The sequence below is a fragment of the Homo sapiens genome, chromosome 20 (genome assembly GCF_000001405.40).
Source record: "Homo sapiens chromosome 20, GRCh38.p14 Primary Assembly".
NCBI lineage: Eukaryota > Metazoa > Chordata > Mammalia > Primates > Hominidae > Homo > Homo sapiens.
The window spans coordinates 63,517,258-63,538,465 of NC_000020.11; the positions used below are offsets into that span (position 1 = coordinate 63,517,258).

Here is a 21,208-nt window from a genome sequence, read left to right on the forward strand (position 1 = left end):
TGGAAATCTTTAATATATTTTATTATGCAATTCAACCTTCCATCCAATATACATACTGGACGCCTGCCTCCTGCATGGCTGGCTCTGCCTCAGCCACTGGGACCCAGGGTGAACAGATACACCACCTTCTCCCACAGTGCTTGTGTAACCACCAAGCCAATGTCCTGAGTTACTTCCAACAGTGAAAGGTACAGGGATTAATAAGGAACTTTCGCTGAGCACCTGCCCCGTGCCAGATACTGGTCCAAGCACCTGCAGGAAGCATCTTACCCTCAAGGTGGCCACAGGAGTTAGCTATGCCCGTCTCACGCGCAGGGACACTGAGGAACAGGCAGCCTTGGCTGCTGCCCCCCGGACTTCACCTGCCACATCAGGTGCCGCCGGCATAGCAGGCCTTCATCAAATATTAGTCAGCACTTCTGTTTTCTTCTGCAGGTGGTGACACCATCTAAGAGGCACTGGCCAGAGAGCTGGGCAGCAGCTGCCACCTGGGATGAAGATGGGCAGAGCTGGGCCACCAGGGCCGTGGTGTGAACACACCACTCTCCCTCCAGGGGCCGACCAACGAGCTCCGGGGGTCCAACCCTGGCTCCGGCTTTGGCAGAACTCTCACCTCGCCCCCAGACACCTGTGGGAGGAGCACAGTGCAGGTGGCGACAGCTCCCAGGGGCCGAGCAAGGCTGTGAGCCTCCGCACTAGGGGCCTCTCCCATCTAGTCCTCCCCACACGCTGGGGTTAACGCATTCTTAACATATGTATGTTAACCCAACCATAACAAGGTGCCACCATCGTCCCGTCCACAAGGGAGGAGACAGTGGCTACAGGGTGGCAGGCAGCCCTTACAAGTGGGACTGGAAGCCTTTCCCTCCCGCCCTGTGGGAAGCCTGTGGCCGTCCCCGCCCTCGTCCAGCTGTGCCCTGTCCTCTCCAGCTGACCGTCCCCGTCAATCTCATCCCTGCCAATGATCACATCCTAGCAGCAACCGGGCCTGAACCGGCCTGCTATAGCTTGCGCACAATGCATCTTCCGTCCGCTTAGCTTTTCTGCCCCCATTTCCTACAGCCGGGGAGGCTCGGGTGCAGTGTCTCTCCTCGCTCCTGCTTCCTGACCCAGAGCCCAGACCTGGGACTTCCCAAAAGCCCCCAGACACACCAAGGGCACCGCCGAACCCCTCAGAGCCAAGGGAGAGGAGAGCTAGCGTTCCCTGAGCTCACCTTGCCTGGTGGCACGGGTCCCCTCTGTCTGCGGCCACTGTCATGGGAGAAGCCAGGCTCAGCCACTGGCAAGAGCAGGCAGCCAGCAAGAGGTGGATGTGGGTCCAAGCCCAGGCCACACGGCTCCCAGCAAGAGCCATGGCCAGGGGCCAGTCGGCAGCCCCTCTGCCCGACAAGGATGTGGGCCAGCGTCGTCTGCACTTCAGAGGAGACGAGAACCAGGAGGCGGCCCCCGAGGGCATCCCGCGGGTCCTCACGGAGGCTGCGTTCTCCCACCTTGGCCAGGATGCCCCGGGAACACCATGCAGCGTCTCTGAGGCTTCCTGTGCAGAGGGGCTCACAGAGCCCCCACCGGCCTGGTTTAGTAAATGCAGTTTTTACCTTTTCACTTTAAAGGAAAATGAAAATTCCTCCTTTCAGACGCTCTGTGACTGATGTTGACCGGTGTTGACTGGTGAGGTTGAGAATGAGGTGAGCTGGGTCAGGCCAGCCTAGAGGGAAGCGGGTGACCTGGAAGGCCGTGCTGTCAGGCGTGGTCGGCAGTCGGCCCCACGGCTCCTTCAGGGTGGGCCTGGACCACAGACACCTCACCAGGGTCTCCCGTCCCTGGGCGGCTGCATATGGGTCCAAGCAAGCCACAAAGGCTGTGCCAGCCAAGCCCAACGCAGGCCGCCCCTACAGTCCCTGCCCGGCCCTGCACCCTCCCCACCCCTTCCCAGGTGCTGATCACCAGTACTCACTCTGCACCCCAAACCCCAAACCCCGTCTCAGCGTCTGCCCCTGAGGACCCTCTGAGTGTCAACCCAACTGACCCGTCTGCCTCATCAGTGACCCCTCGGGGCTGCACACCTCTCCCATCGCAGGTCCTGGCACTGCTCTCCGGCACCGAGCTCCCCCTCCCAGGTGGGGCTCAGGCGGTTCCCTGCCCTCCGTCCTTAGACCTCAGCTGAAACCTGAGCTCTCCCCACCACCCGCCCCCGCCAGCCTCTGCACTGCTCCCCACGGGAAGGCCGTTCTCCCTTGGTTTACCGTTCCCTGCGCTTGGCTCGGCCATGTGCACATAGTAGGTGCTTACCACACTCGTGCAATGAACACACAGAGCGGTGCAGGGCCCAGGACAGCGCCTTCCCCACGTGCTCAGGGGGCACAAGGGCGTCCCTCCAAGTCTTGCTCAGGGGCCTCCCAGGGTCCCTGCCCAGCTGTGGGTCCTCACTGAGCACCCGGCGAGGACAGAGTACGGCATCCGTTGGCCTCGATCTCCGGAACAACACGGGCACACGGCCGTCCCAGCCAGCAACGAGAGCCACGAAACAAATCCACCCGGGCTGACTCCCGAAGCCCTCGGACTGTTCCGCCCCACGGACCTCCCGGACCCTCTCTTCCACGGGGAAGACACCGCCCAGCCAGGACCGGGTGTATAAAGAAACGGGATTTCCGTAGGGGCAGGCCGATTTCCCCTGCGGGGCCGAGGGAGGTGTGGGGAGGATTCTGCGCTGGGGGGAGGAGGAGAGGGAGGACGCCTTTCTGCCTGGGAAGGGAAAACGCGCCCCCTCCTGATTGGCATGGCGGGCCGTCCCCCGGGCCCCAGGGCCCTGCCGGGAACGCTCTGGGCTCCCCAAACATGGGGTCTCCGAGCAGTGGGGCCCAGCCTCTGCCTCCGGCGACTGGAGACTCACCTCACCCGCCCAAATCCGCCCCGCTCTCCGACTGGGCCCCGCCTCCCACTGCCCCGCCATCCGCCCACCCTTTCACCGCCCCCTGCGGGCAGCAGGCGCGTCCTGGGGCTGGGCAACCGGGGTGCAGGTTCCGGAGCTGCCAGAGCTGTGAGGGGGACTCGGGAGAGATCCAGGTTCCTCTGGCTGCGAAGTCCCTGGAGGCCGGGCCGGAGGGCTCCGCGCACGTAGCACTTTTTGGCCCGCCCGGCGCCCCCGTCGCCTCCACAAGGGCTGAAGAGGACGGGCGGGCTGGACCAGGCGGGGCTCCGAGACGCGTCCGAGACGGGGGCCTGGGCCCGGGAGAGGGGCGGGGGCTGGGCTCCCGGACCCGGGCGCGGGGCCTTTTAACCCCTGCAGACCCAGGACCGGCCGGGCCGCCCCAAGACGAACGCCGCAGGGCTGGGCTCAGCCCAAGCCAGACGGCGAGAGTCGCACCGAGGTGGAAGCTGGGGGCGCGGCCTCGCCGGGGCCAGGAAAGGGGCGGGGCCGGGTGGGGCCCGGGGAGGAGCCTGTGCGCCCCGCCCTCCGTGACGCGCCGCGGCCCCCGCGCATATAAGTGGGCGCGTCCGCGCGTGCGCACCCCGCGCGCGCCTCTCTGTCGTGGCGCGGCTTCCCGCGGTCTTCTCTGCAAATGGGCTCCGTGGCCTAGCGCCCCCGTCCCCGCCACCCGTGATCGTGCGCCGAGGCCCGCGAGGGGTCGCCGCCCAGGTGAGGGGCGCCGCGCGCGGGTGGGACGAGCAGGCCCGAGGGGCGGGGGGCGAGGGGCGGGGCTGGGCCGGGGGCTCCTCTCCTCTCCGCCTGGCGAGCGCTGGGCTCGGGGTCCCCGGCGGGCTCCTCTCGGGTCGGGCGGGTTGGGACGGCGCCCACCAGGTTCCCGACGTCTGGGCCGGGGCCCCGCGCACAAAGCGCCTTTGTTCCACCCGCTCGGCCGGTTTGGGCTGGTTGGAGCCGCCCGCGCCCCGCGCGGCGAAGGCGGTGCCGGGAGCTGGGGAGCCCCGCCTCGGTAAATAACCCAGCGCGGCGGCTCCACCCGCTGGGGAGCGCCCTTCATGACGGAAGGCCGCTGACCCGAGGGGCTCCTCCACCCCCATGCGCAGATCCCACCAGCCAGCAAGCTAAAGCATGGCGGCCATCCCCTCCAGCGGCTCGCTCGTGGCCACCCACGACTACTACCGGCGTGAGTAGCCCCTGCCCCCCATCCACGCGGATGCTCTGCTGGCGCCAGTGCCGGCCCCGTGCAGGCTGCGGAACCAGCGCTCGGCCTGAAGGCCGGTGGGCTGGGGGGCTCCGCGCCCCGCGTTGCTGACGGGACCTCTCCTCTCCAGGCCGCCTGGGTTCCACTTCCAGCAACAGCTCCTGCAGCAGTACCGAGTGCCCCGGGGAAGCCATTCCCCACCCCCCAGGTGAGTGCAGGATCGCCCCTTTCTCCCCCCGCTCCTCCAGGAGCTGGCAGCATCAAGACCCCACTTCGCTTCTCTCAGGTCTCCCCAAGGCTGACCCGGGTCATTGGTGGGCCAGCTTCTTTTTCGGGAAGTCCACCCTCCCGTTCATGGCCACGGTGTTGGAGTCCGCAGAGCACTCGGAACCTCCCCAGGCCTCCAGCAGCATGACCGCCTGTGGCCTGGCTCGGGACGCCCCGAGGAAGCAGCCCGGCGGTCAGTCCAGCACAGCCAGCGCTGGGCCCCCGTCCTGACCTGAGCGGTTACCACCAGCCCCAGGCCTGCGGAGGCGCTAGTCCACCAGAGCCCCTCCCCGCCCCTCTCCCCACTCCGCATCCCTCGCCCCCCTCCCCACCTCCCACCCCCCACCCTGTAAACTAGGCGGCTGCAGCAAGCAGACCTTCGCATCAACACAGCAGACACCAAAAACCAGTGAGAGCCCCGCTCTCTACCGCCCGGCCCCAGCACTCGCTAGCTTTCCTGACACCTGGAACTGTGCACCTGGCACCAAGCGGAAAATAAACTCCAAGCAGCCAGTAGCCCCGATGGTGTGTGCCTGAGCTGTGTGGCCCGAGGTTCCATTTGAGTGTGAGAAATGGCTGAATCCCTCCCGACCTCACTGCCTTGTGGGGGCTGGCCCTGCTCCCAGGCCTTTCTGGGCCTCCTCACGCTGTGAGGCTGTTGCTGGGGCTGATAAGGGTGGGGTTCACTGCTGCTTCTGGAGAGCCTTGGACAGCAGGCAGTCCTGGAGCTGGACAAGCAGGACCCAGGGCAGCCACTGAGGTGGGCCCCCGTGCCACCTTTAGCGGGGGGAAAGGGAGCAGGGAGGGCTGGTCCTCTGAGGGATTCAGGCCCCTTACCCGAGGGCCTGCGGGGCGGGGAGTAGCCTCTGGCTGTGAGCTGGGAAGCCCTCACTCTGGAGGGACCTGGTTCCTGCTGGTAGGTGTCTCCCAAGGGCCTCCCATAGGGGTGTTGCCCCAAGACAGGCTGAGGGGTAGGGGCTGCAGGCACCGTGGAGGGGTCTTCCTGCCACAGGCAGCCCAGCTTAAAGTGAGGGTGGCTGCATCATTCTGGCCTGGTATAGGCATGGAGTGTTGGAGTCCGGGAGTGCTGCAGGCTGGCAGGGATGGGGGTCCACACACAGGAGTGCATGGGCTGTGAGCTTAGTAGACTCCTTCATAACCAAGGTGGGTGGTGTCCCCACACCTCTGCCAGGAGCCTACAGGGATTGACTCAGTTCTGTTGAGAGGCAGCTTAGTGAGCAGGTGGGAGTCAGTGAGATAGCTGGAGACTTGATGTGTGGCCAGGGACATGGTGAGAGGAGGGGCCTCCGTGGGGTGGGAAAGGGTGGGGTTCAGTGGTGGGGGAGGGACTCTGGGGAGGGGTGGGGATCAGTGGGTGCTCCCTGCCTGGTACCCTGTTCCACTGCACTATAAATAGCTGTACTAGTTGGTGGGAAGCTGGTGGGAAGGCATCTGGCTTGTGGCCTCTGATGGCTGAGCCTTTGTCCTGTCCACAGGGTGGAGGCAGCCTCACCCAGCCATCCAAGCCGGTGGTCAGTGCTGAGGCTGGGTGGGGGAGCCTCCGATGGACCCAGGAGTGGGAGGCTGCTCCTAATGGCAGTTGAGCCCCCTGCAGCCTTTTGCAGTGTCCAGATGAAGCCCACAGAGACCCTCCTCCATGTACACACAGCTGTGAGGGTAGCAGGAGTTGGTGTTGAAGGGAGAGCCCAGCCACGCTCAGGTCCCCACCACACATGGCCTGGGGGGGCTCCGCCCTTGGCTGAGCTGGAGGGCTTGGGGTCAGGACCAAGGGTGGGTCCACCCTGCTTGGAAAGAAGCTGTCCTGGCTTTTGGAGTCAGCGGGGGAGGGGCACTGCCCGGGAGCTGGTGTCTTGTTGGAAGGGGCAGCTGGGAGTAGGGAGCAGCCGAGCCACAGGCTGCCCGCGGCATCGTCCCCTGCCTCGGGTCAGGGGGCCCCTTGACTGGAGGACCTCACAACCCTGGGGGTGTCCATGGCCTGTTCCTGGGAGCTGCACCCTCATCAGATTCTCTGTAGGGGGAGAAGTCATATCTTTTCCTCACCCATCACAAGCTTCATGGCTGAGACCTGTTAGAAACAAAATGCTTCCTCGGTGCCACAAAGAAATAGCACTCAAACATTAATTTTCTCAGCAAGGCAATTTTTACTTCTATAGAAGGGTGCGACTCGCGGATGGAGCAATGGTGAGAGCGCACCTGGACAAGGGAGGGGAAGGGGTTCTTATTCCTGACACAGGTAGCCTCTACGGCTGTGTCATTCCCCTGTTGGGTGGGGTTGGACTGCACACTCTAAGGTAATTCTGATTGACTATTTTAAAGAGAGCAGGGGTGTGACCCAGAGTGGTGGGGTGAGTAGTTTGGCAGGAAGGACAGGAACAGGTAGCTAAAGATGACTTAGGTCAGAGCAGGTGACCAGGGGCCGGGTGCGATGGCTCACGCCTGTAATCCCAGCACTTTGGGAGGCCGAGGCGGGTGGATCATGAGGTCAGGAGATCGAGACCATCTTGGCAAACGTGGTGAAACCCCGTCTCTACTAAAAATACAAAAAAAATTAGCCAGGCGTGGTGGCGGGCACCTGTAGTCCCAGCTACTCGGGAGGCTGAGGCAGGAGAATGGCAGGAACCCGGGGGGCGGAGCTTGCAGTGAGCGGACATCGCACCACTGCACTCCAGCCTGGGCAACAGAGCGAGACTCCATCTCAAAAAAAAAAAAAAAAAAAAACAGGTACCAGGATGAGTCAGGACGGAGCAGGTGACCAGGGGAACAGATGTGAACTATTGATTAAAACTGGTGGAAAAGGTTGTTTACTGAAACTATGCACGAGTTAAATGGAGAACAAAGAACTGAACATACATGCTGAGTCCTCTAAGAGAAATCTAGAACTCACTGTATCCAACAGACCCTTGAACAAAAGACAGATTAAACTGGGCGCAGTGGCTCACGCCTATATTCCCAACACTTTGGGAGGCTGAGGCAGGTGGATCACTAGAAGCCGGGACTTCAAGTCCAGCTTGGTCAACATGGCAACCAACACGGCAAAACCCTGTTTCTATCAAAAACAAAAAAATTAGCCAGACGTGGCGGTGCATGCCTGGAGTCCCAGCTACTGGGGAGGCTGAGATGGGAGGATCCCCTGAGCCCGGGAGGCGGAGGCTGCGGTGAGCCAAGATTGCGCTACTGCACTCCAGCCTGGGCGTCAGAGAGCAAGACTCTGTCTTAAAAAAAAAAAAGAAAAAGCATACAAACATTTAATGCGAGTTCCATGTGATGTGGGCCCCTTCAAAACAAAGACCAAAGAAATGGTCTATTTCACAGCGGAGCAGGAGTGAGCGGAGGATGGAAGGGTGTGATCAAGGCCCGACTTGACTCTGACATCCCTTTCCTCTGGTTAGGGGGCGGGACACCACGTGAGGGTCTGCAGGGAGAGGGTCTGGGAGTGGCCTTCCTGGGTTTTATGGCCTGCTTCAGGGAAGAAAGGCAGGGAGGTTAGAATGGCCTCAACGGTGAAATATTTATCTTTTTCTTCCTCCCTAATCCCAGAATTCAGAAACTGTTAGTGGGTTTGCATAAGTTCAATGAGAATCTGTTCTTGTAATAGGGCACAATTGAAAACATTGGTTATATTACCAAGGCTTTGACTGGAATGTCCTATTTTCAGATACGACTAAAGGAGTTAGGGTTGACTGCATGGTCCAATAAAGCCCCTTGGAAAAAAGCTGGCCTGGTACCTCACATACGTGGTTCCCTTACAGATGAGTAAAGAATGTCAATTCCTGGCAGGTCCCAGAATCTTAAGATACCTTAGGGACCTCAAGAAGAGAGGAATTCCCCTAAATCTGTACTTATTGCAGGCAAAGTCTGATGGCAAGTCTTTGCGATGGCTTCCTAGCCTCAAGAGGCTTTTAAAAGCCCAATCTCAGATTCCTTATAAAAAGTTCCAGTAGGCCAGGCACAGTGGCTCACACCTGTAATCCCAGCACTTTGGGAGGCCACGGTGGGCAGATCACGAGGTCAGGGGATCGAGACCATCCTGGCTAACACGGTGAAACCCCGTCTCTACTAAAAATAAAAAAATTAGCCGGGCATGGTGGCGGGTGCCTGTAGTCCCAGCTATGCGGGAGGCTGAGGCAGAAGAATGGCATGAACCCGGGAGACGGAGCTTGCAGTGAGCCGAGATCGCGCCACTGCACTCCAGCCTGGGCGACAGAGCAAGACTCCGTCTCAGGAAAAAAAAAAAAAAAAGTTCCAGTAAAGCAAATTTTAAAAGAGCCCACGTGTCCAGGTGTACCTATAATCCCAGCACTTTGGGAGCCTGAGATGGGAGGTTTGCTTGAGCCCAGGAGTTCAGGACTGGCCTGGGCAACATAGTGGGGCTCCCTCTCTACTAAAATACAAATAAATTAGCCAGGTGTGGTGTCACATGCCTGTCGTCCCAGCTACTCTGGAGGGTGGGGCTGGAAGGTGGCTTGAGCCCAGGAGGTCAAGGCAGCAGTGAACCATGATGGTACCACTGCACTCCAGCCTCGGTGACAGGGTGAGGCCCTGTTGGAAAACAAAAATGAGGAAGAACCTATGTGGTTAATCACTATTCTTGTTCCACTTACATAAATAACCACACCAGGTTTAATGAGGCCAAACTTACTCTGCAATCAAATCAATCTTTTATTATCTTTGATAGAAATGTGTTAATTTGAAAACAATCCTACTTTTATTATCTTTGATAGAAATGCGTTAATTTGCAGCCGGTCACGGTGGCTCACACCTGTAATCCCAGCACTTTGGGAAGCCGAGGTGGGCGGATCACCTGAGGTCAGGAGTTCGAGACCAGCCTGGCCAACATGGCAAAACCCTATCTCTACTAAAAATACAAAAATTAGTCGGGCGTGGTAGCAGGCACCTGTAATCCCAGAGACTTGGGAGGCTGAGGCAGGAGAATCACTTGAACCCGAGAGGCAGAGGTTGCAGTGAGCCAATATTGCGCCATTGCACTCCAGCCTGGGCGACAGAGCGAGACTCCATCTCAAAAAAAAAAAGGAAGAAGGAAATTTGTTGGCTGGGTGCGGTGGCTCACACCTGTAATCCCAGCATTTTGGGAGGCCGAGGTGGGTGGATCACCTGAGGTCGGGAGTTCGAGACCAACCTGACCAACGTGAAGAAACCCCATCTCTACTGAAAGTACAAAAATTAGCTGGGCGTGGTGGCGCATGCCTGTAATCCCAGCTACTCGGGAGGCTGAGGCAGGAGAATCACTTGAACCCGGGAGGCAGAGGTTGCCGTGAGCCGAGATCAAGCCATTGCACTCCAGCCTGTGCAATAAGAGCGAAACTCTATCTCAAAAAAAAAAAAAGAAAAAGAAATTTGTTGACTGTAGAGAGAAAAATTATGTTTCAAAATAAAACTCGTGCCCCCACTATTAGACTCTAGCCCGGTTTGCTGTCTGGAGGTTTTGTCGCCCACCTGTGGTCCGGACCGGGTCCTGAACTTCAGTTTCCTCCAATATTTGCCTACAGCTCACCAAACCACTCTTTCCAATTTTTTCTTCCACCATTCCTCATGGAGTCACTGAAAATTAAAACTGCTCTTTTCCCAAAGCCCTGTAAGCTGAAGCTGCCCCACTTGATACAGACTTCAGAGAAATTTCCCCAGCAACTCTCGTACAGACGGCTTTCGTGCCCAGGCTGGGCGCAGCAGCTCAGGCCTGTAGTCCCGAGGCAGGAGGATTGCTAGAGCCCAGGAGTTCGAGACCAGCCTGGGCAACATAGCAAGACCCTGAATCTCCTAAAAAAAAAAAAATTTAAAATTAGCCAGGTGTGGTGGTGCATTCCTGTAGTCCCAACTATTCAGGAGGCTGAGGCGGGAGGATCACTTGAGCCTGGGAATTCAAGGCTGCAATGAGCTGTGGTCACGCCACTGCGCTCCAGCCTGGGTGACAGAGCAAGACCCTGTCTTCAAAAACAAAAACAGAAACAAAAAACGTTTTCTTACATCTGGAAAACAAAATATTAAAGAACCGTAATGCTTCAGACAAAAGTCATTAAACAGTAAACATCCTCGTCAGTTCATTCATTCCCATGTCATTAATTCTTGTTCTGGTTGATCCTGGGACAGAACTTTCATGGACCTGCCAGGTCCCTCCTTCGAGTTCTGGAAATTTGCACCCAATCCAAGGCTATGACCTGAACCAGAAACCTGTGCTCCAGAGCACCTGTCAGAATCCTTCCCAGGAATCTCTTTGAAGAATAAACAATTTGGGACTAGCTGATTGCAAAGCTTTCAGAAAAAATCAAAGTAAGATAATAACTGTGAATGACCGAAGACTTAAGATAGCCATGGCTCAGGATCTGATGAGAGTTTATTATATTCGTGACACGGTTGGCAAGGAAACTTGGTTATTTCTGTGGCATGCAGCATTTTAATGTAATAACCAAAATTATGACTGATAACATTGCACCAGATTTCTAGGAATAGCATGTGAGATAGGATATATATCATAGGATAACGTATCAGATTTCTAGGAATTTTATAGAGTTTCTGCAACATTCATATCAAAACCAAACCCGTAAATAGAACCTCCAGAAGACTTAGTGTGACTTACTATTTCACACGCTTTCCATCTCATGTAGCACATCGGATAAGCCTGATTAGTCTGACATCTGTCTTTCACAAGGCAGAAGACAAATCCTTTTGAGAAATCCTAGTACCTTTCCAGAAACTCCCAAAATTATTTTTCTTTCTTTCTTTTTTTTTTTTTTTTTTTTGAGATGGAGTCTCGCTCTGTCGCCCAGGCTGGAGTGCAGTGGCGCGATCTCGGCTCACTGCAAGCTCCACCTCCCGGGTTCACACCAGTCTGCTGCCTCAGCCTCCCACGTAGCTGGGACTACAGGCGCCCACCCCCACCACCACACCCAGCTAATTTTTTGTATTTTTTAGTAGAGACGGGGTTTCACCGTGTTAGCCAGGATGGTGTCGATCTCCTGACCTCGTGATCCACCTGCCTCAGCCTCCCAAAGTGCTGGGATTACAGGCATGAGCCACCGTGCCCCGCCTATTCTTCTTTTAAACCAAAAAAACTTTCAGGTGAGTCAAAACCAAAACCAATAAGCTTTTTATGACTTAACCATGGATGAAAGAGACACCTTCAAAATCAGGTGCAAAGGAGGCAGCCCCCCCAGCCCGGAACCACCCCACAGACAGTAGAGAAGGGCCCTTGTCAGCGCAGGAGTGAGGGGCGCTTTCCAGCACTGACCCAGCGACAAAGGTGAAGGTGGGAAAAGCCCCTTGTGGACGTGGACGGTGAAACTGAGCTGGCGCCTCGGGCAGTGATGCTTGGGCTGGCAGAGACCAGGGAGAGAGTTCTCACTGGTCATAAGGCCAAGCTCTCAAGACACAAGACAAACAGGAAAGAAACACCTGCCCCTGGGAGGAAAGAACCCTTGAGCACCAAAACCAAATTTACATGAGCGTCCCGAGCCACGCGAATGACTTTCTCCCACCAAGCTGAACTGGGAAGAGCAGGAACAAGGCGTGTTTGCCTCCCACCCTCAGCCGGGCACTGCAGACAGACAGCCAGAGAGCGGGCTGTGGTCAGAGTCCCCTCTGACCTCTGCTGGCTTCGTGTCAGTCTCCCGGATCTCATCTGCAGGCTCCAGAGCAGGCTGCGTGTCAGCAGCTGAGACCCAAGGCACACACGATGGAGTAAGGAGAGGAGCACACGCGTGTATTGGACGCAGACACTCCACATTTGTGAACCTTTCCTGCACCCATCACCTCAGTAAACCCCAGGGAAGCGCGTGGGCCTTGATCCCAGGTCCAGGCCCTCTGCCCAGGCCCCTCCTCAGCAGGGCCCGGCCATGCCCGCTCCACAGCAGCTCAGGTCGGGTTCTCGTAGCTGGTGAAGCTGGAGAGCCTCTCCCGCAGGGCCTTGAAGCAGGGTCTCTGCTCGGGGTCCCTGCACCAGCATGTCAGCATCAGCTTGTGCACGCTGGGCGGGCACTCCAGAGGGCAGGGCATGCGGTAGCCGGCGTCCACCCTCAGGAAGGCCTCATGGTTGGACATGCCTGCGGCCGACAGGGATGAGAAGAGCTGGGGCCCACCTGCCTACCCTCCCCCAAGAAGCCACACCAGCCATCCACTGCCCCTTCCTGGGGCCTTCCCCGCAGCCTCAGCTGCCATGCCTTGGCGCCACCCAGCACACTGTCCACTGCTAACACCTCCCTCTGGACAGGGCTCCAACAGGCAGCTCCAGGCACCAGCCTGGGTGCTCAGAGAATGGTGCAGGTGTGGAGTTCAGGCGATGGCCCGCGGAGGGCCCTGAAGCCCGTGGGGGAGGCACCCCCCAGCGTCCCTGCCGGCTACCCAGGACCTCCCCCACTCTGCCTCTCATGCCCAGTCAGGGACAGTGGGGACAGTACCTGGGTAGGGCACCTGACCCCTGCTGAACATCTCATGCAGGAGAATCCCAAAGGACCAGACGTCGGATTTGGTGGAGTAATGGCCTCGGGAGAGCGCTTCAGGGGCCGTCCACTTGTAGGGGATATTGTGGTCATGGGAGAGGTAGACGTCCTCCTGCAATCAGCCTGGAGCTGAGTGGGCCGTGGGGGCTGCCTGTGCCCTGCCCCCGAAGCATGGACGGGCACAGCGGCCGCATTGCCCCAGCAGTGGGACGGTGATGACCCCACTGTCTGACCCACGCACGGCCGCTGCAGCTAAGGCCACACTGGGGCCTGACCACCTTCAGGAGCCCAACTTCCCCTGGGATTGCAGGTGTGTGGGGACCGGAGGGCCCGGGGGACAGGGAACTGGGAGGCTCCCAGGCCGTCAGAGGGGCCCAGGGCTGGGCCAGTGAACAAGGCACGTGAACAAGGCAGCGGCTGCGTGGTGGGCCCTGCTGTGCGTGCCATTCAGAATGGGGGCCCCACCGGACTCACGGTGGCTTCCCACCTCCCTGCCCAGCCTGGGCTCCCGAGGGCAGGGGCCGCATCCTGCTCCCAGCCGAGTCCCCAGCTCCACACACAGGAAGCCCCCAGCCCTCCGGCCACGCCCCGGCCACGACCCCAGCCACGCCCTCTGAGGGCCCTACCTTGATAAGCCTGGCTAACCCGAAGTCCCCAACTTTGCAGAGGGTGTTTTCCCCGACGAGGATGTTCCTGGCGGCCAGGTCCCGGTGGATGTAATTCTGCGACTCCAGGTAACACATGCCCTCAGCCACCTGCCAGGCGATGTCCAGCAGCTCCGAAACGGGCAGGACTTTCTCATCAGAGTCTGCAGAGGGGAGTGGAGCAGAGCCTGGGGTCAGCTGAGCCAGCTGAGGTGGGGAAGGGTTGGGGAGGCTGGGCCATGTCTCATCTGCCTCCAAGCTCTGCGGGCTCAGAGGAGGGGCCGGGGCAAAGGGCAGCTGGCCTGATTGAAAATTGGAACTGCAGGCCAGCTACCGCCCTTCTGGAAGGCAACTGTTTATCACGAACCAAGGAGCAAGCTGGGCGTGGTGGCTCACGCCTGTAATCCCAGCACTTTGAGAGGCTGAGGCGGATGGATCACGAGGTCAGGAGATCGAGACCATCCTGGCTAACACGGTGAAACCCCATCTCTACTAAAAATACAAAAAATTAGCCGGGCGTGGTGGCGGGCGCCTGTAGTCCCAGCTACTCGGGAGGCTGAGGCAGGAGAATGGCGTGAACCCGGGAGGCGGAGCTTGCAGTGAGCCGAGATCACGCCACTGCACTCCAGCCTGGGCGACAGAGCCAGACTCCGTCTCAAAAAAAAAAAAAAAAAATATATATATATATATATATATATATAATTAGCTGGGCGTGGTGACAGGTGCCTGTAATCTCAGCTACTCAGGTGGCTGAGGCAGGAGAATCATTTGAACCCAGGAGGTGGAGGTTACAGTGAGCCGAGACTGCGCCATTGCACTCCAGCCTGGGCGACAGAGTGAGACTCCGTCTCAAAAAAAAAAAAAAGAACCAAGGAGCAGTTCCTAGTGGTCTAGCCCAGCGATTTCCCTTCTGGAAGTTTGTGATGACGCGGGAGGAGCTGGACGCAGAAGGACCAGCGAAGAGGCTCATGACTGCGTGATGTAGGCAGTGGGAACTCGAACAGGAGAATGGCTGTCAGCGGCTTGCGGCCTGGTGGTGCCTGTTTTACCCCACATTCCCTCCCGGAGGACCCTGAAGGGCGTGGGGACTGTCTGAGATGATCAAGCCCTTTGTGTGAGGGCGAGGGGTACGGAGCCTTTCGCTCAGAGCGCAAACGTGCGTGGTGCCTCAGTGTAGCTCTCCTCAGACACACACGGCATTTTTCCTATACCACAACGTTCCCTCCCATTCTAACATCGGAATCCAAACTGCGCCTTCACGCACGGGCATCTCCATTCCCTGGCAGCGATTGTCTTTGGTTTTGGTGAGAAAGGAAATAATGGAACTTAGAGAGGATGAAGTCTTTGAGCCAATGTGATCTGTGTGTGTCTGTGTGTGTGTCTGGATCAGTGTGTGTCTGTGTGTGTGTGTGTCTGTGTGTGTCCGTGTGATCTGTGTGTGTGTCTGTGTGTGTCCGTGTGATCTGTTTTGTGTGTCTCTGTGTGTGTGTCTGTGTCTATGTGTATGTCTGTGTGTGTCATGTGATGTGTCTTGTGTGTGTGTCTGTGTGTGCATGTGTATGTCTGTGTGCATGTGTGTGTGCATGTGTGTCTGTGCGTGTGTGTCTCTGTGTGTCTGTGTCTGTGTCTGTGTGTGCATGTGTGTGTCTGTGTGTCTGTGTGTCTACGTGTGTGTGTGTGTAGACGTGGGGGGGGGGTGTGCACTTTATTTCCTCACGTGCCCCCGCTGCCTCCAGCAAGAGCCCCGGCCCATGCCACTCACCGCGGAGCAGCTCCAGCAGGCTGCCCTTGGCCATGAGCTCCGTGATGATGTACACGGGGTCCCCCACGGACACCACGGCGTACAGCGCCAGGATGTGTTTGTGCCGCAGCTTCTTCATGGCCTGGATCTCCGACTGCAGCATCTGCTGGTGCAGGAGGTTGTCTGCGGGGACGGGTGGCCTCGGTGGATGCAGCCCCTGACCCCCCAGGCCCCAAGGAAGAGGCCAAGGCCCTGCCCCCACACACAGCAGCCATCACACCCAGCAGCTGTGCAGGACACACAGACCTCCTGCCCCCGACAGGGCACCTGGCTCCCGAGGCCACGAAATGGCAGATGCAGCCGGCCCCACAGGGCCCCAGCCTGGCGTACCCACGGGGCTGTGGTGGCCACCCGATTTCTTCCTGTGCCCGGCCCAGACCTCTGACATAGAGGCCAGACCTCTGCTGGGGCCCAGACGGGTTCCAGGGAAGTTTTACCCATTTCCAGTGATCTATTTTAATGGCTTTCCATTACGTCAAGGATTTTAAATTTTCTTTCTTTCTTTCTTTTTTTTTTTTCCCAAGACGGGGTCTTGCTCTGTCGCCCAGGCTGGAGTGCAATGGCGCGATCTCAGCTCACTGCAATCTCCGCCTCCTGGGTTGAAGCGATTCTCCTGCCTCAGCCTCCCGAGTAGCTGGGACTACAGGCACATGCCTCCACACTCGGCTAATTTTTGTATTTTTAGTAGAGACGTGGTTTCCCCATGTTGGCCAGGCTGGTCTCAAACTCCTGACCTCGTGATCCGCCCACCTTGGCTTCCCAAAGTGTGGGGATTACAGATGTGAGCCACCGTGCCCGGCCTAAAATTTTCTTTTATAATAAATGTATTTAGGTAAAAACATAGGTGCAATTGAAAGGGAACCACTCTCGCATGGACGCTGTGGGTGCTGCTTGGGGCTCGAGGCCAGAGGTCCCTGTTGGCGGGGTGGGAGGGTGGCCCAGGGCAGGCACGGGGCCACACAGAGCCCTGATCGGGGCCCACTCACCTCGAGAAATCACCTTAATGGCCACCTGGACCCGGTCTTTCCAGAGCCCCTCGAAGACCTCCCCAAAGTAGCCGGACCCCAGCTTCCTGCAGAGCGTGAACTCCTCCCTCGGCCTCTCCCAGTCATCCCAATGGGGCAGGGGCTCAGGCTCGTGCTGGAGGAAGAGTCGGGGACACAGGGCAGGGGCTCATCCTTCAGGAAGTGCCAGTCTGAAGCCAGCACAGGGAGCCTGGATTTAGCCTCAGATTTAGGGCCACGATCAGCCTGGGTTGGGGGTTTCTGAGTGTCTGACACAAGGGTGGACTCTCCTGGGGGCTGCCCCCAGCCCAGCATGAAACACCCAGACAGACCGGAGCCAGGACCCTGCAGAGTGCCGCTGGCCTCTCCGAGAGTGGCCAGGCCCGGGGATGGTCTCCTGGCCCCACCCCCAACTCAGGCAAACACCTGTGCTCTGCAGAACCATGGGCTTCCCTCCAGTGGGCCCCAGGTCAGTGAGTCAGGACCCCTCCCATGCTGCCCGGCCAACCTCTCCCAGTAGGAAATGCCAGCCTGTGACCCCCCAGCCTGACCCCGCGTGACCAAGTCAGGGCGGAGCGGCTACCTTCCGGCAGGGCGCGGCCAGCCGCAGGCCGTGGGACAGGCTCTGGGCCCTGTGGTAGTTCACAAGCTCGGGCAGGCTGAGGAAGGACACCGCCTCGTTCAGGTGCAGCCGGCCCCCGGCACGCCGCCAGATCTTGTAGTGCCGCACAGCCTGCGTGTCCCGCACTGGGAGGGAGAGCGTGAGCTGTGTGGCCACCCCAACTCCGACGCCTCCCTGCGTCCCCAGCCCTGCTGGCCACACCTGCGCAGAGTTTCTGGGTCCCCACAGTTGCTGTTGGTGCTTCCTCAGTACCACCCCTGCCTCCCCTCCCTCAGAACGGCTCCCTCCTGCCCTGCACGCTCTGGCCAAGCTCTCTGGCCCCTCCTGCCCCCGTGCCAGGCAGCCAGTGGCCTCCGCCTGGATGGCAGCTGCCTAAAATCCCAGCCATGCTGAGATCCTCAGGGGCAGGGATGGGGTTTCTCTGCGCCCCGCACACCCCAGGCTCAGGTCTCATGCTGGGCGAGGTTCCCATGGGTGCTGAGGACCTCCCACGAGTGCCTCGGGCAGGGCTGGCTGGAGAAGCCCCTGCCCTCCCAGGGAGGGGCCCTGCCCCACGACTACCCTAGCAGCCAGTGACCCAGGCCCCAGGGAGGAGCGGGCCAGGTGGGCGGAGGGGATGGGAGCTCCCTGGAGAGGAGCCCATGTCCCCCGTCTCAGCCAGAGCGAGCCGGGTTCACCACGTGGCTGGGAGGGCTTAGAGCCAGGAGCCCCCGCAGGCAAGCACAGGCTCGGAGGCCGGGGCCGCACCCGACAGGACGTAGTCGGCACTCGGCTTCTCGCTGACCCTGATCAGGAAGGCGCCCGTGGCGTTGCCCTCGGCCTGCAGCCGACGCACAGCTTCCGAGCGGGAGATGCAGCCAAAGAACCACCTGCAGGGGAGGAGTCTGAGAACACGCGGACCTGGGCCCACCCCACGTGGACCCCACGCTGGCCCCAGCCTGCCCGCCTGGAACCCCAGCCGCCCTTGCCTGCCACCTCAAGCTCCCAGCCCTGACCACAGCTGCTCTCAGGAGCTGTCGCTGACCCAGACGCCCTGAATGTCCCGAAAGGCCAGGACAGGCCCCTGAGGACCCGGCGGGGGCAGGGGCAGGCGCTACCACACCCTGCCCTGAGTGGCCCGAGTCTAGGGGTCAGAGCCTAGGGTGGAGCTGGGGAGGGCAGCTGAGCAGGATGGCTGCCCAGAGCTGCCTGCACACACCCATGTGTGACGCACGCTCACACACACACAGTCACAAACCCCCACACATGCGCACAGTTCACCCGCACACCTGAACACACACGCGCATGTGTGCTCACTTGCCCACACGCTCACACGCACGCACACACAGCCACTCGCGCGCACTAACTCCCGGCTGCGGGGTGTGGGCCAGCCCTGGACTGTGGACTTCCAGGTGGAGCTTGCAGAAGCTCCAGGTGACCTGCGCCCTTTGTGTGTCTGACTCCCTCAGGTCACTGGAACACAAACCCCACACAGAAGACCACGGCCCAGCATGGAGCCCCTGGGGTCCACCCCCTCCACTTCCGCACACCTGGAAGCACTGCCCCACCTGCCCCTCCAACCACCTGGCCTCCCGCCCCCCCCCTCACCTGGCCTCCCGCCCCCTCCTCACCTGGCCTCCCGCCCCCTCCTCACCTGGCCTCCCGCCCCCCCCCTCACCTGGCCTCCCGCCCCCTCCTCACCTGGCCTCCCGCCCCCTCCTCACCTGGCCTCCCGCCCCCCCCTCACCTGGCCTCCCACCCCGTCCTCACCTGGCCTCCCGCACCCCCCTCACCTGGCCTCCCGCCCCCCCCTCACCTGGCCTCCCGCCCCCTCCTCACCTGGCCTCCCGCCCCCTCCTCTCCTGGCCTCCCGCCCCCTCCTCTCCTGGCCTCCCGTCCCCTCCTCTCCTGGTCTCCCGCCCCCCCCACCTGGCCTCCCGCCCCCCCTCACCTGGCCTCCAGCCCCCCCCACCTAGCCTCCCGCTCCCCCCCCCACCTGGCCTCCCACCCCCTCCTCACCTGGCCTCCTCCCCACTTCTCACCTGGGCGAGTTCTCAGGACTCAGGGTCTTTGCACCTGGGAGCTGACCAGCCTCCGGCCAGACCCCACCCCTGCACCCCTGCTCACTAACGAGGTCGTGGGTCTGCGCGTGACCCTGCTAACGAGGTCGTGGGTCTGCACGTAATAGAGGGGTCTCCACCATGGGCCCCTGCCCGACGGCCTCTTTACAGCCTCCCCTGCTTGTTGCTTGGGTCCCCCGGGAGCTAACCCTACACAGCCTGTGACTCACGCACACACACAGTGGGTGCCCAATCACTGATGAGAAACGCGGGATCTCAGGAGCGTGACCCTCCTCAGCCTGAGCTCCGGGCAGCTGTGGAAGCCAGGGCCAGGCCACACCAGCTGCTGTCTGGTTCCCCGCAGGGCACAGCAGGCAGGAAGTTTGCCCGGCAGCCGGCCCGCTCCCCTAACTAGGTCGTGTGTCTGGTTCCGGCACTTTGGAAACTGGGCAAGCTTCAAGCTTCGTTTCCCCCAAAGGCCCTGGAACGCTCCGACAGACCTTGTCACTGGCCACCGGGCCCCAGAAGTCCACCCTGGACCCTCTGTCCTCCCTGGGTCCCGGCAATGCAGCGTCCACCCCCGAGCTGTGACAAGGATGAGCCCAAGGCAGGGGCCGTGCCCTCTGACCCCCGTGCTCCAACTCCCGCAGGGACAGTCCTGGGCACTCCTGGGCGCCAGCGCATGGGGCCTGCAGGGAGGATCAAGCGGGATGCCCAGCCTGGACTTTGGGGTGCAGGAAGATGGAACCGGGGTCCCCACCTTCTTGGGCCTCCCTGAGCAGCCCAGAGCCCTGTCCCTCCCCTGTGCCTAGAGGGTGGCCTGTGCCAAAGCTCCCAGCAGCCTAGGACACGCACGGTTCCGACTCCACCGTCTCCCTCTCGGCCAGGTAGTTGTGGGGCACATAGCCCTGGGCCACGGCCCCACCCGCCTCGTCCAGCAGCGTGGCCCACCACCACTGCTCCTCCTTCCTGGCCACGTGGAAGACGTCCCCCGCGCGGAAGCTCAGCTCCTCGTCCGTCCGGGACTTGAAGTCCCAGAGGCCCACATACTTGGGGCCCAGGTGAGCCTGGTCCCGGGACACCATGGCGGGCGGGCGCAGCGGCAGGACCAGGCTGTGGCCCAGCTGGAGCACCCAGAGCTGGGCGTGGCAGGCGGGCCGTCCCACTTCCTCATGACAGGCCGGGAAGCAGCCACACCCAGCACCCACAGGCGCTCCAGAGCACCCCGGCTCCTCCTGAGGGCCCAGCCGGCCCCACAAGTCCTCAGGCCCACTGGGGCCCATCTGAGCACTTAGCGCCCGCACTATGGGAACCCACTGGGCAAGCACCGCCAGGGCCGGCCTGAGCGCAGGAGAGGGGGAGGAGGACCTCCCGGTTGGGGCTTCTTGGGGGTCCAACTTATGGACACTCAGGCACTCAGGGAAGCCAACGGCCCTCTGGGAACAAGCCTCGCAGCCTGAGGGCAGGAAGGTGAGGGCTGCAGGCGCTGCCTTCCCAACCCTCAGAGCTGCGGGGGCACAGGTGGGGGCCGCCTCTCTCCCCGCTTCCGGCAGCTTCCCCTCCACCCGTCGGTGCCCTCACCCAGCCCCAGACTCCACCCCTGAGCACAGGGCCCAATGTCAGGAGCTGCTGTGGGCAGGCGTCCTGAGAGCGGCCTCATGGGCAGGCCCGCCCTCGGGTAAGGGCCAAGCAGGGAAGAGGGAGTGGAATCAGGGCAGCGACAGCTGTGTGGGTCGGCCCGGAGGACTTCCCGGAAGAGGAGGGCCCGAGGGTTTTGGGGGATCCCCGGGGAGGCAGAGCCAGGGGCACCCACGGCTGAAGAAACGGGCACTGCCTTCCTCCACACGGACGCCAGGGGGCAGGCAAGGACCGTGAGTGCGGCCTGGAAGCGCCCATGGCGCTGGGGCCCAAGGCCACAGGTCCCTCCCAGGCAGCCCCTCCCGCCTCCAGCCTCTGCCTCCTCCTGTCCAGCCCGCAGGACCCCTGCCCCCTTCCAGCTGGCCTCCCTTCTCCCGACTCATGCCTGAGTGAGCCCTGCCGTGACCCCCACCTGCACCCGACGGCCGCCTGCCCCCCAGCCCCTGAGACTCGGGACACCCCCTCCCTGGAGGCCCCTCCCCGCCCCACCCTCCCACTGACCCTACTGTGTCCACCCGGGAGCTCCAACCCAGGGACCTGGACTGGCAGCCACAAGGGGGCAGGAAGGGGCGGGAAGGGAAATTCAAAGTCTGCAAGG

The 21,208-nt window shown here is 60.7% G+C and overlaps 2 protein-coding genes and 1 long non-coding RNA gene across 6 annotated transcripts, besides 11 other annotated features; 1 reads left to right on the forward strand and 2 right to left on the reverse strand.

Annotated features, from left to right (window-relative positions):
- LOC102723814 (uncharacterized) lies at positions 1–3,416 on the reverse strand. Its single transcript, XR_430332.4, has 2 exons — positions 1,215–3,416; positions 1–628 (listed from the first exon to the last, which is right to left on the reverse strand). It is a non-coding gene; the product is annotated as an uncharacterized LOC102723814 (long non-coding RNA).
- Positions 887–1,764: an enhancer, noted in NCBI's record as "H3K27ac-H3K4me1 hESC enhancer chr20:62149497-62150374 (GRCh37/hg19 assembly coordinates)". NCBI's record gives its function as "activates a minimal SCP1, AML or CMV promoter by ChIP-STARR-seq in naive H9 embryonic stem cells {active_cell/tissue: H9 hESC(naive)}" and the evidence as "EXISTENCE:reporter gene assay evidence [ECO:0000049][PMID:30033119]".
- Positions 1,765–2,641: an enhancer, noted in NCBI's record as "H3K27ac-H3K4me1 hESC enhancer chr20:62150375-62151251 (GRCh37/hg19 assembly coordinates)". NCBI's record gives its function as "activates a minimal SCP1, AML or CMV promoter by ChIP-STARR-seq in naive H9 embryonic stem cells {active_cell/tissue: H9 hESC(naive)}" and the evidence as "EXISTENCE:reporter gene assay evidence [ECO:0000049][PMID:30033119]".
- Positions 2,642–3,518: an enhancer, noted in NCBI's record as "H3K27ac-H3K4me1 hESC enhancer chr20:62151252-62152128 (GRCh37/hg19 assembly coordinates)". NCBI's record gives its function as "activates a minimal SCP1, AML or CMV promoter by ChIP-STARR-seq in primed H9 embryonic stem cells {active_cell/tissue: H9 hESC(primed)}" and the evidence as "EXISTENCE:reporter gene assay evidence [ECO:0000049][PMID:30033119]".
- Positions 2,642–3,650: a biological region, named in NCBI's record as "H3K27ac-H3K4me1 hESC enhancer GRCh37_chr20:62151252-62152128".
- Positions 2,791–3,040: a silencer, noted in NCBI's record as "silent region_13155". NCBI's record gives its function as "represses an Ori minimal core promoter by ATAC-STARR-seq in GM12878 lymphoblastoid cells {active_cell/tissue: GM12878}" and the evidence as "EXISTENCE:reporter gene assay evidence [ECO:0000049][PMID:35858748]".
- Positions 3,101–3,650: a silencer, noted in NCBI's record as "silent region_13156". NCBI's record gives its function as "represses an Ori minimal core promoter by ATAC-STARR-seq in GM12878 lymphoblastoid cells {active_cell/tissue: GM12878}" and the evidence as "EXISTENCE:reporter gene assay evidence [ECO:0000049][PMID:35858748]".
- On the forward strand, positions 3,484–4,949 carry PPDPF (pancreatic progenitor cell differentiation and proliferation factor). Of its 3 annotated transcripts, none has more exons than NM_024299.4 (4): positions 3,508–3,637; positions 4,027–4,106; positions 4,255–4,332; positions 4,411–4,949. In NM_024299.4, exons 2-4 carry the CDS (start codon positions 4,052–4,054, stop codon positions 4,620–4,622), a joined length of 345 nt encoding a protein of 114 aa, NP_077275.1. In that variant the 5' UTR covers positions 3,508–3,637; positions 4,027–4,051; the 3' UTR covers positions 4,623–4,949. The 3 variants fall into 3 exon arrangements, 2 of the variants coding, with proteins under 2 accessions (NP_077275.1, NP_001340352.1); NM_001353423.2 differs by having other exon boundaries at positions 4,448–4,907; NR_148427.1 differs by lacking the exon at positions 4,027–4,106 and having other exon boundaries at positions 3,484–3,637; positions 4,411–4,914.
- Positions 3,761–3,960: a silencer, noted in NCBI's record as "silent region_13157". NCBI's record gives its function as "represses an Ori minimal core promoter by ATAC-STARR-seq in GM12878 lymphoblastoid cells {active_cell/tissue: GM12878}" and the evidence as "EXISTENCE:reporter gene assay evidence [ECO:0000049][PMID:35858748]".
- Positions 4,950–10,743: 5,794 nt separating the features above from the next.
- On the reverse strand, positions 10,744–20,119 carry PTK6 (protein tyrosine kinase 6). Of its 2 annotated transcripts, NM_005975.4 has the most exons (8): positions 19,828–20,119; positions 17,681–17,802; positions 16,895–17,058; positions 16,294–16,447; positions 15,269–15,430; positions 13,489–13,670; positions 12,821–12,974; positions 10,744–12,466 (listed from the first exon to the last, which is right to left on the reverse strand). In NM_005975.4, the coding sequence occupies exons 1-8, from the start codon at positions 20,055–20,057 to the stop codon at positions 12,279–12,281; spliced, it is 1,356 nt and encodes a 451-aa protein (NP_005966.1). In that variant the 5' UTR covers positions 20,058–20,119; the 3' UTR covers positions 10,744–12,278. The 2 variants fall into 2 exon arrangements, with proteins under 2 accessions (NP_005966.1, NP_001243287.1); NM_001256358.2 differs by lacking the exon at positions 17,681–17,802.
- Positions 11,879–12,173: a silencer, noted in NCBI's record as "tiled region #4884; K562 Repressive DNase matched - State 8:EnhW". NCBI's record gives its function as "represses a minimal TATA promoter and a strong SV40 promoter by Sharpr-MPRA in K562 cells {active_cell/tissue: K562}" and the evidence as "EXISTENCE:reporter gene assay evidence [ECO:0000049][PMID:27701403]".
- Positions 20,218–20,307: an enhancer, noted in NCBI's record as "active region_18226". NCBI's record gives its function as "activates an Ori minimal core promoter by ATAC-STARR-seq in GM12878 lymphoblastoid cells {active_cell/tissue: GM12878}" and the evidence as "EXISTENCE:reporter gene assay evidence [ECO:0000049][PMID:35858748]".
- Positions 20,428–20,577: a silencer, noted in NCBI's record as "silent region_13158". NCBI's record gives its function as "represses an Ori minimal core promoter by ATAC-STARR-seq in GM12878 lymphoblastoid cells {active_cell/tissue: GM12878}" and the evidence as "EXISTENCE:reporter gene assay evidence [ECO:0000049][PMID:35858748]".
- Positions 20,908–21,177: a silencer, noted in NCBI's record as "silent region_13159". NCBI's record gives its function as "represses an Ori minimal core promoter by ATAC-STARR-seq in GM12878 lymphoblastoid cells {active_cell/tissue: GM12878}" and the evidence as "EXISTENCE:reporter gene assay evidence [ECO:0000049][PMID:35858748]".